This window comes from Homo sapiens, chromosome 17 (genome assembly GCF_000001405.40).
Source record: "Homo sapiens chromosome 17, GRCh38.p14 Primary Assembly".
NCBI classification, from domain to species: Eukaryota; Metazoa; Chordata; class Mammalia; order Primates; family Hominidae; genus Homo; species Homo sapiens.
Window position 1 is genome coordinate 44958216 of NC_000017.11, and position 11366 is coordinate 44969581.

At 57.0% G+C, this 11366-nt stretch overlaps 1 protein-coding gene across 1 annotated transcript, besides 2 other annotated features; it reads right to left on the reverse strand.

The window, feature by feature from the left end:
• Positions 1–1477: 1477 nt before the first annotated feature.
• C1QL1 (complement C1q like 1) lies at positions 1478–10088 on the reverse strand. Its single transcript, NM_006688.5, has 2 exons — positions 9237–10088; positions 1478–2152 (listed from the first exon to the last, which is right to left on the reverse strand). Exons 1-2 carry the CDS (start codon positions 9831–9833, stop codon positions 1973–1975), a joined length of 777 nt encoding a protein of 258 aa, NP_006679.1. The 5' UTR covers positions 9834–10088; the 3' UTR covers positions 1478–1972.
• Positions 3503–4003: an enhancer, noted in NCBI's record as "H3K4me1 hESC enhancer chr17:43039086-43039586 (GRCh37/hg19 assembly coordinates)". NCBI's record gives its function as "activates a minimal SCP1, AML or CMV promoter by ChIP-STARR-seq in naive H9 embryonic stem cells {active_cell/tissue: H9 hESC(naive)}" and the evidence as "EXISTENCE:reporter gene assay evidence [ECO:0000049][PMID:30033119]".
• Positions 10019–10378: a silencer, noted in NCBI's record as "silent region_8604". NCBI's record gives its function as "represses an Ori minimal core promoter by ATAC-STARR-seq in GM12878 lymphoblastoid cells {active_cell/tissue: GM12878}" and the evidence as "EXISTENCE:reporter gene assay evidence [ECO:0000049][PMID:35858748]".

The following is an 11366-nucleotide window of genomic DNA, read 5'->3' on the forward strand; positions in this document are numbered from 1 at the left end:
AGATCTACTGCCCACCCCTGCACACATATCCATGAGATAATATTTATAAAGTTCTTACGTAGTACCTGACATATAATGGGTGCTCTCTCAATATTAGCTATTGTTATCTAGAAATGCCCTGTGTGACATGGCCTCCAGTTATAGGAAGTGAGGATGGCAGTGGTGGAGTAAGGGGACTTGGTATGTCTTGGATTTTCTTTCTTTCTTTTTTCCTTTTTTTGAGATGGAGTCTTGCTCTGTTGCCTAGGCTGGAGTGCAATGGCGTGATCTCAGCTCACTGCAGCCTCCACCTCCAGGATTCCAGTTATTCTCCTGCCTCAGCCTCCCAAGTAGCTGGGATTACAGGTGCCTGCCACCACGCCTAACTAATTTTTGTATTTTTAGTAGAGACAGGGTTTCACCATGTTGGCTAGGCTGGTCTCAAACTCCTGACCTTGGGTGATCCTCCCACCTCGGCCTCCCAAAGTGCTGGGATTACAAGTGTGAGCCACCGTGCGTGGCCATGTCTTGGATTTTCAAGTGCAATCACAGAACTTAGAAACTATGTAAGCAAGATATTTAACCTCCCTGCAAGAATAAAATCTAGGTCCAACCTTCCAGGGCTGTTTGGAAAACTTGAGATGACATACTTGGAAGCATTTTGCAAGTTATAGATAAATAATAAAAGCTATGTTTACTGAGCACATAACAATAAACCTCACGAATCCTCAATCAAGTGAGGTAGGTCTCCTACGTTTATTGATGAGGAAACCGAGGCACAGAGGTCAAGTGCGTAGACCTAGGTTAACCAGCCTTTAGTCCAAAGGATGTTCCTTTCTATGGCTGTCACTAATCCTAAATTGCGTTGAAAGAAGTGACTTGCCCAGGATCATACACGGTGGCCCAGAGCCGGACCTAGGTCTCCCTGTTTAAAGATCACCTGTGCCTGTGGAATGCTGATGCCACTTTCAGCGAGGCTCCCGCCTGTAATCCCAGCACTTTGGGAGGCTGAGGCAGGCGGATCATGAGGTCAGGAGATTGAGACCAGCCTGGCCAACATGGTGAAACCCCATCTCTACTAAAAATACAAAAATTAGCTGGGCGTGGTGGTGTGCGCCTGTATTCCCAGCTACTCGGGAGGCTGAGGCAGGAGAATCGCTTGAACCCGGGAGGCGGAGGTTGCAGGGAGCCGAGATCTTGCCATTGCACTCCAGCCTGGCAACAGAGCGAGACTCCGTCTAAAAAAAAAAAAAAAAAAAAAAGGAATGTGTCCACCATGGAAGATGATGAAGTAACTGGGCTGCTTCCCATCCCAGCTGCCCAGGCCCACTTGGGTTGTGGTGGGCTTTAGGCCCTTTGGCAACTTCTTCTTGGAGTAGCTCTGGCTCTGGCACCTGGTTTCCCCTAGAAACTTCCACCAGACCCCTTCCTAATCTGGAGGAGGGCACGGTCCACCGTCGCCTCCCGCAGCCCTCCCCAGGGCACAGACTGAAACCCCTGCGGGGTGAAAATGTTTTTATTATAACTTTGGTCAGACGGGGCACAGCCGGGCGGGGGCTCTGAGGGTGCTGGGAAGCTATCCAGCCCCCAACTCCCCCCTCCCCCGGGCGCGCCACCCCGGAGGGAGCGGAGGGCAGCTCATCTCAGAGCGCAGGAAGCAAACCCGCCGCCGCGACCTCTCCCCAGGCTGGGGTGGGCTGGCAGGCGGAGGTGGGCAGTAAACAGTCCTATTGTACAAATATATAGCGCGGGCTGGGCGGGGGCGGTCAACCCCGGTTCCCTGGCACGGGGACAGGGCGCGCTGGGCCCGGCTCTGCAGCGAGCCGGTGGGAGGGCCTAGCTGTGGCCCAGGCGGTGTTGAGCACGGGCCGGGGGCGTCATAGCCGGGGAGGGCCGGGCAGCGAGCGGGTGGGCGAGGGGCGAGTCATCGTCTGCCCCGCCCGGAGGGGACCCCGGCGGGTGAGGGACGTGGGTGGAGGGAGACGTGGGGAGCTCAGTCGGAGTAGATGATGAAGCCAGAGAACGTGCTGTATTTGTTGCTGTTGCCGCCGTGTGCTTTGCCTCCATCCAGCTTGATGAAGACCTCGTCGCCGGCGTCCAGGTGCAGGATCACGCTGTTGCTGGCGTAGTCGTAGTTCTGGTCCGCGTCCTGGGCAATAGCACTGGCCCGCACCTGCGGGTGGGGGACACGGGAGGGAGGGCGAGAGGAGAGAGAGGATGAGAAGGGAGGGAGGTGAGGCAGTCCCGTGGGGGAGGATCAGCAGACCCAGAAACCTGGCCTCCAGCCTCGCCTCATCCCTGCCACGCTCCCCCTCCCCCGCCCCCTTCCAATCATACAGGACTTGTTTCAGGAAAGGGGCAGAGAGGATCCCTGGATTTCTAGGGCAGGTCTGATCTGGGCCTGAATTGGGAGTCAAGGCAGAGTCTTCCTCCTTAACTCTTATAGGGCTTTCCCTCCAGCTGGCTGAGAACCTCAATACCTCCAGGAAGCCTGGAAGCCTGTCCTTGCAAAGAGGAATTCTCTGGACCTCCAGGGAATGGAGGGCCTTCCCTACTCTCATCATTCCTTCCTCTCTGCTTTCATAATGATGCCATCGTTTCAGCCACACCCGCTGGATCTTATGTCAGTGGATGGACACAAGGGCACACCTTGGCCCCACAGGTCAGGCAGCTGGACCAATGCCAGGCTGCCAGTCAGCAACCACCCTGGAACCAGGGCCAGGTCTTTGGTCTGAAGTGCATTCCAGAGTCTCTCCTGCTGCAGCAGTGAGACAGAAGGCCTGGTAATGCTTTCCCCTCCCAGAGTTTAGAAGGGGCCTGGGTGCCAGCCTCCATGGAGCTGTAGCTATGTACCTGTCACTACCCACCCAAAGAGGATTGTAGCTCCTCCTGTCTCACCTCAGGGTGGTAGAAAGGAACTGGGTGGGAAGAAGGGAATCCAGGCCTTACTTCCCTCTGGGATTCTCAGTCTGATGTGACATCCTTGCTGGTCCCTGCCTTGATGGGGGATGGGGAGGGACAGGCAGGATAATGGGTCAAGGGAGCACCAGCATTTGGGCTTGGAGCCTGCCGTCACTTTTGGGGGCTCTGACTATAATCATAAGAGATTGTGTGGTGGCTGCATACGGTGGCTCATGCCTGTGATCCCAGCACTTTGGGAGGCCCAGGCAGGTGGATCATTTGAGGTCAGGAGTTCGAGAACAGCCTGGCCAATATGGTGAGACCCCCATCTCTACTAAAAATACAAAAATTAGCTAGGCATAGTGGCACGCCTGTAATCCCAGCTCCTGGGGAGGCTGAGGCAGGAGAATCACTTGAACCTGGGAAATGGAGGCTGCAGTGAGCCGAGATCATGCCACTGCGCTCCAGCCTGGGCGACATAGTGAGACTCAGTCTCAAAAAAAAAAAAAGGCCAGGCGCGGTGGCTCACGCCTGTAATCCCAGCACTTTGGGAGGCCGAGGCGGGTGGATCATGAGGTCAGGAGATCGAGACCATCCTGGCTAACAAGGTGAAACCCCGTCTCTACTAAAAATACAAAAAATTAGCCGGGCGCGGTGGCGGGCGCCTGTAGTCCCAGCTACTGGGGAGGCTGAGGCAGGAGAATGGCGTGAACCCGGGAAGCGGAGCTTGCAGTGAGCCGAGATTGCGCCACTGCAGTCCGCAGTCCGGCCTGGGCGACAGAGCGAGACTCCGTCTCAAAAAAAAAAAAAAAAAAAGAGAGAGAGAGAGAGAGAGAGAGATTGTGTGGTGGTGAACGAATGATCTACAGACATTCAGCTAACAGGTATGGAAACATAAGTCCTGAGTTTGAGGATCGGGGCCTCTCCAGGGTATCCTGGGTAGAGACATGGAAGAGAAGCGCCCTCTCCAGGACTGTGGCTTGTGGTGTGGGGAGGCTGCACTGAGTGGAGTTCTCTCAGCCAGGTTTCTCCACGGCCCCTCTCTATCCTGTCCCTTCACTGAAGGCAGCTTACCATCCCAACTCCCAGGGCTGAAGTCTGGGTAGAACCAAGCCAAATTAGGGGAGGGGCCCATCCTCTCTCCTGGGCTGGAGGCAGCACTGCAGGTCAGCTGTGCCAGAGCTGCTGACTCAGCCGCGATGCTGCAATGAAGAGGACCCGACATATTTGCATGAGGGCCTCCCTTTAAAGCCCTTCTCCAGCCCCTTCTTTTCCCTCAACCTCTTCTTCCCAACCTGAGAAGAAACTCTTTGTGTGCTTAGCTGGGAAAACTGGTCTAGTTAAAGGTGGGAGGGAATAAATGAAGGGGGAGATGCTGTCTGCCAAGGAGCTCAGTTTCTCTGTCTAGAAAATGGATGAGAAGACTTTGCCTCACCACTGCCACCTCTGTAAAAGTCTTTTGATGATAAAGAAAAAAAAACATTAGATCTTGATGGGGCTTTGAGTTATTAGGGAAGAGCTGAAAGCAAACAGCCAACTTCTGTATTGTTCCCTGAGCCCTAATCCTGGTAATATTTATTATTACACATGCATTTCATTATCTTTGCTAATAAATTACTACTAATAACAATTATTTTTATTGCCCAGATTAATTTAGCCTTAACTCATTAAAACAGTGTGCTCCTTAATAGCCAAATCCATTGGAACAGAGTCATCTGTCATCAGGAATCTCCTGGTGATGTGACTGCATCAGAACTGTTATGCTTATGTTTATTATTTATTCATCACCATGATTGTTGCCGTAATTATCCTAATTATCCATGGAGGCAGAGAGAATTTATGCCCTTCCATCCTTAGATGGTGGGGGATCCAAGAATGGAACCCAGGGGTCCCAATTCTCTGCCTGACTGGAGACAGTTGAGGCCTGCAGCTCCTCCTGGGGTCCAAGGGGAAGTGTGGGGAAATGAGGTTGCCAAGGAAGCAGGAAAGCAGGTTTGGGCCTTGTTATGAGGGAGCGCTGTATAATCAGCTCCTCAAGGGCTGCCAGGAGGGGAAACTGAGGCAATGGTCTGACCAAGGGAACTGGGTGAGAGGGCATCCAGGAAACACGTTCCTGCCCTCAGATCAATGCTGGGGTCTTGGGTGTACAGATGTGGCTCCCATAGGGGAGCCAGCCTGGCCCATGGGGGACACTTGCATTTTCATACATACATTAACTGCATTCCCACTGTGCCAGGCACTGTGCTCTGTGTTGTGAAAGGTATTAGGGGCCAGAAAGGATAGCCAGGGGGCCATCTGCCACCACCAGGGGAGAGGCTGATCTCCTTAGGTCTTTTTTCTTTTTTGAGACAGAGTCTTGCTCTGTCACCCAGGATGGAGTGCAGTGGTGCGATCTTGGCTCACTGCAACTTCCACTTCCCAGGTTCAAGTGATTCTCCTACCTCAGCCTCCCGAGTAACTGGAATTACAGGCACCCACCACCACACCCGGCTATGTTTTTTTGTATTTTTAGTAGAGACAGGGTTTCACCATGTTAGACAGGCTGGTCTCGAACTCCTGACCTCTGGTGATCCGCCCGCCTCAGCCTCCCAAAGTGCTGGGATTACAGGCGTGAGCCACTGTGCACAGCCTTCTTAGGTCTTTATACCACCACCTTCAATTTATATATGCCAGCACCTCTCGCCACACTCAGATTCTGTTGTCAAACCCCTGGCCCATTGGTGATACTCACCTCCCCACAGCCTCCTACCCTGGATAAGCAGCACCCTGACCACAGGCCCTGGCACATCCTCACAAAGCCCCCTGCCCAGTTTATTAATTTTGTGTCCTCTCCAACCCACCTGAACTGTGGATCTTGGAGGCAGCTGCAGGCAACTCACCACACCCAGGGCCCCACTGCCAACCCAGAGTCCTTTCCCCAGGCTCCTTGCATCCTAATGGCCAGGACTTGGTGCCATCAGGGGTGCTGATGCAAGGCTACCCCTAAGGACTGGGGCCAGTGGGCCTCAGATAAGGACAGAGGGAGCCTCAGTGCCAGGCATGAAGGTGGTGCTCCCCATCCCGAACTTGCCCGGAGAGGAGGCAGAGCCCAGATTCAGCTCTGCCTCCCTAAAGAAATTCTGGAAGCCTCTCTACAGGCAGGAAGCCAGGAAGGAAAAGCGCAGTGCTCAGGGTGGCCCCTGGTTCTGAAGTCACAAGAGATACAAGCTTCTCTCTTTTGTTCCCATACATTGTCTGGTCCTGCCATTTTTTTCTCTGCTTATTTAAATGTCCTTGTCCACCTCTGAGCTGGCTTTCCCCTACACTTGACCTTTTATATTCTCCCTTGTGGTATCTCCTCACTTTGCAGACCAAGGTTCACCATCTTCTCCCCCTGCATCAGGTTGGTCTGCACCAGGGTAGGCCCTACTGAAGCACTCCCTCCCAGCCAACACATTTGGGGACCAAAGTCATCAGCTGGGCTCCCAGCCCACCTTTAACACAGTATTCGCTGGGGCGTGTGGTTGTATGTTATGAATGTTCCCCCTGCATAGGCCATGAGGTCTTGGAGGGCAAGTGGACTGAACTCCTACAAAGCCTCAAATCTGGCTCCTAGTAGGGGCTCAAAACTAACAAGTGGGATGGCTAGTGAGATCAAATGAGTCTCTTGGGCAATTTGGAAGAAGTCATAAAGGACATGGGAGAGGGGGCTACGGGCCCCACTATTTCTCCTGGTTTTCTTTTCTTTTCGTTTTTATCTTTTCTTTTCTTTTCTTTTTTTTTTGAGACAGAGTCTCACTCTGTTGCCCAGGCTAGAGTACAGTGGCGAGATCTCACCTCATTGCAACCTCTGCCTCCTGGGTTCAAGTTATTCTCTTGCCTCAGCCTCCTGACTAACTGGGATTACAGGTATGCACCATCACGCCCAGCTAATGTTTGTATTTTTTTTTTTTTTTGAGACGGAGTCTCGCTCTGTCACCCAGGCTGTAGTGCAGTGGCGCGATCTCAGCTCACTGCAAGCTCCGCCTCCCGGGTTCACGCCATTCTCCCGCCTTAGCCTCCCAAGTAGCTGGGACTACAGGTGCCTGCCACCACGCCCAGCTAATTTTTTGTATTTTTAGTAGAGATGGGGTTTCACCGTGTTAGCCAGGATGGTCTTGATCTCCTGACCTCATGATCCACTTGCCTCGGCCTCCCAAAGTGCTGGGATTACAGGCGTGAGCCACCGTGCCTGGCCTAATGTTTGTATTTTTAATAGAGATGGTGTTTCGCTGTGTTGGCCAGGATGATCTCAAACCCCTGACCTCAGTTGATCCATCTGCCTCAGCCTCCCAAAGTGCTGGGATTACAGACGTGAGCCACCAGGCCCAGCCTCTCCTGTTTTTCTTTTGAGGGGGCTGGTCTGAATAACTATTAAAGTGCTGGGCCTTTGAAACCCCTAGTTAAAGCCACCTCCTTTTTTCCTACTAGCCTGTGGTCCCATCTCCAGTGAGCACCCCTTCATCAGACTCTGTCAACACCCTGCCCCTGCTGGAGGGAAAAGGAGCTTTTGAGATGGTTTTACCTCCCAGTGACTGAAGCAAGTTCCCCATTCTAAGCACATAGCATCTCCGGGGCCTCTTGTTGCCTCATCTCTGGGGACCTGCTGGGACTTCCTGAGGTGGTGCAGGGTCTAGGGCCAACCTGTGGCCCAATGACTGCCTCCCTATCCAGGCAAGCTGCCAATCCCCTGAAACCTCAGCTCTGTGTCAGCCCAAACTTCTTTGGGAAAGGAAGACATTCCATTGATGAAGGTGACATTGCTGCATCCCTTATTGGTGATTAATAGGGGGAATCATGGGGCTGTCTGCAGAATGAGCCTTTGCTGGATACTGGGGCCTCCCATTTGGTCAGGAACCAAGGACAAAGAGGAGAGACACGGGGATGTCTGATAGACACACGTGGGAAAGAGAGACATACAAGGAATAGAGAAGAGTGGGGTTAGATCCGGGGAGGAGAGGCCAGAAACCCAGGGAGAGATGGAAAAGGCAGACACAGGAGAGAGATGGACAAGAAACAGCAAAATAGAAGAAAGAGGCAGGGGAGAGGCAGAAACCAGAGAAAAGGTGTTGGCGGGGCAGCAGCCAGGCAGAGGAAAGAGAAGAAGGGCTGACTTATAAGCACCTGGCAGGCTATCTGCTCACTTTCCCTGCCTGCCCCTGTCTCTGCCCCTAAGACTTGCAGACCCGCAGGCTGGCAGAGCCTCAGGGCAGTGCTGCTGTGGGAAGGGTTCCAACAAGGTCTTGTATCTTAATCGTGAGAGATTCCTTCTCAACTTCCACTAGCTCAGCTTTAGTTCTGACCAGTGGTCCCCTTCTTCGAAGAGAATGCTCAGCCTGACCACACCCCCAGGTCACAGGCCACCACGAGTGAGAGCACTGGGAAGGGAGGTGGTATCAAGAGAGCTGGCTAAAATTGTCACCCCAGGGCGGGGCTGGGTGGAGGCTGGTCCTGGGGTCGGCCATTCCAAGGAGAGCTACACGCACATGCGAGTCCCGGTACCAGAGTCCCCGACACACTCAGTGCTTTCCAGCTGCAGCGTCTGAGATGGGGACGGAGAATGGAGAGGACCCCACACACTCCAGAGTCAGGAGGGGCTGGAGCTGGGAGACCAAGAGGAGGGGGAGTTTCCATCTCTTCCACCACCCCCCACCCCCCACCCCCTCCCCGCCTCAGGAGGAAAAACTCCCCCGCCCCCCAGACTGCCTTCTTTTTGGGGAAGCTCTGCTACAGTGGGAAACAGCTCCCCAACTCCCGGATTTTGCAAAGGGTGTCAGATTCGCCCAATGGTCCCTTCTCCAGGGCAGGGGAGGCACTGCAGCCAGGGCTGTAAGCACCGGGCTCCCTTTGCCTTTGTGCCCCAAACATTTCCTGCAGCCAGCCTTCTCCGCTCGCGCCCATGGCCACGCGCCTAGGCGCCCGCGGGCGCGGATGCTGCTTCTCCCTGTTCCATACGCCAGAGCCCATCCTTGCCCTCCCCTTATCGCCCACTGCTGTCGGCCCGAATCCACTTCCCAAGGGGCAAGCCCCCAAGGGCAAGTCCGTGCACCTGGGAGCCCTGCGCTCTGACTAGTTGGGTTCATTTCCCGCATTTCCAGTAGCGTTCCAGACGGTGCCCAGCAGCGTCTGTCTTGGAGCGGGAACCCAGGAACTGAGGATCGGCGATGTCCGCTGGCTCCGACCATCCCCACACGTGATGACCAAGCGGGGCCGCTGTGGGGTGGGATCTCCACCTGCGTCCGCCTGGCGCCCCCGCCAACTCCGATCAGGTACCCATTTGCCCCGGGCTCCCTGGGTGCCCTGGGCCCAGCCCAGCCCCATGCCCCCGCCTGGCCCACCTGGCCATTCTTGCAGAGGTCTGCCCACATACTGGTGCCGTCGCCGCCGCGCATGAGGACATGGTAGGTGAAAAAGTAGGTGCCGGGAATGTTGCACGTAAACTTGCCGCTGGCCGCGTCGTAGTTGTTGCCTAGGTTGGTGACCACGTCGTCAAACTTGAGTACCTCGTAACCCTCGTGGGGGTTCTTGAGGCCGGCGTAGAAGGCCACGCGCGGCACCGTGGTGTAGGTGGCAGTGCTGATGGCGCCGCTGCCCCCCGCGCCCGGCAGCCCCGGAGGGCCCGGCTTGCCTGGCTCACCCTTCTCCCCCGGCGGCCCCACAGGGCCGGGAGGACCTGGGTCCCCGGGAGGCCCCGGAGGGCCGGGCTTGCCGGTGCGGCCCGGCTTCCCCTGGGGGCCCTGCACCAGCGTGGAAGGCGGGGGCGCGCCGCTCTGCTCGCTCAGGGCGTCGCCGCCGTCGGTCCGCGCGCCGGCGCCGGGGCCCCGCGCGGGGTAGGGGTCGCACACCATGCGGCAGGTGCCCAGCATCTCATAGTGGCCTTCCGGGCCGCCCGAGCTCACCAGCACGGGGATGAGCACCACCAGCACCAGCAGCATCACCACACCCGCGGCGGCCGCTAGCAGCGTCTTTCGGCCCGCGCGGAGCCTGGGGAGCGCCGGGCCGCCCGGCCGCGCCGTCGGGGCAATGGTGCCGGCGGGCAGGGGGCGCGGGCTAGGCGCCCGCGCTCAAGGACGGTCCGGCGGGGCTGCGGGCATGGGGCCGGGCCCGGGGCGCCGCGCTGCGCTGGCTGCGCTGCGGAGCCCAGCCGCCGGCTCCTGCCTCGCGCCTCCCTCCTGCTGCGCTGCCGGACTGAGCGCCGCGGCCGCCGCCTCCCGCCTCCCGCCTCCCGCCTGCAGCCTCCCGCCTGACTCCTCCCGCCTCCTTGAGCCGGGCCACCGCCCCCTCGGCCGGGCCCCGCCCCGCCAGCTCCGCGCGGCTCTGGGCTCTCTAGGGGTGGGGCTGCGGGCGGGGCCGGCGCCTAATTGGGCCGCGGGCGCCTCGAGGTGGGCGGGGCATAAGGGGGCGGGGCCGCGGAGACCCCGGGCGGGAGCAGGGAGAGGAAAGAAGAGACTGAGTACGCGGAGACCGAGATTCGGAAATGGGGTGGGGGCCGGGGTCCGAGAGACCCGAGAGGCGCTCCAAGGGAAGGGGAGAGTAGGGACCAAAATGCGAAAGGGAGAGAGGGCCACAGGGAGAGCTAGAGAGCTCCGAGGGGATCGGGAGAGGAGAGGCTTCGAGGGTCGGTCACCAGGAAAACAGAGGGACTGGGGTCGCGACGGGCCAAGACCCGCAGGGGGCGGAAGCGAGGGGATAGCGCCCAGGTCTGCAGGGGACAAAGAGCGATTGAGGGGAGGACGGAGCGGGGAGCTGGAAGGTAGGATGAGAAAGGGGGTTATGAAGCGAAGAAGAGGATACGGAGGGGACCATTTGGCACTCAGGCCTCGCAGACCACCCGTCTGGGAGATCCAGATATCGGATGAATGCCTGTCCGGGGGCCCAGCGGAGCCAGACGGCAGCCGCCTCCTCCTTTCTGGATCTGACTGTTCCGGGACCCGTCTCCCCCGAGGTGGGGCAGGAGCTTCCAACCCCTCCTCGCCTCTGCCCCTTCCTCACCGAACTGTGGCCAGGCTGCTTTTTCCTGGGCCCTTTTCTTCCATCTCCCTCTGCTCAATCCCTTTACTTCTGCCTCTAGACCAGGGAGAAAAGGGGATCCTAAAAAGGTGGGCACCCCCACGTTATTTCTCCATGCTGACAGATGCAAATACGTCCCTGAGGGGTAACCCCCTTTTCCAGCCTCCAGGATGAGGGGTGGATCTCATCCAGCCCCTCAGCTCCTCCTCCCTCACTCCCCAGCCTCCTCCGCCGCCCCCTAACTCTTCTCCCCATCAGGCTGTGGGAGGCTCTCCTCTTCCTCAAGTGCAGCAAAGTGTTTAGGTTGCATAAACCGAAACGTGTCTGCTTCCATCAAAATATTTGTCACATTATCTGAGGCCCAGGTCGGGCTGCTCCACCGCTCCTCCTTCGCCCTCCTTTATCCGGCCCACCGGGGAGGATTCAGCCATTCGGAGGCGACTGGCCGGCTGCTAAAG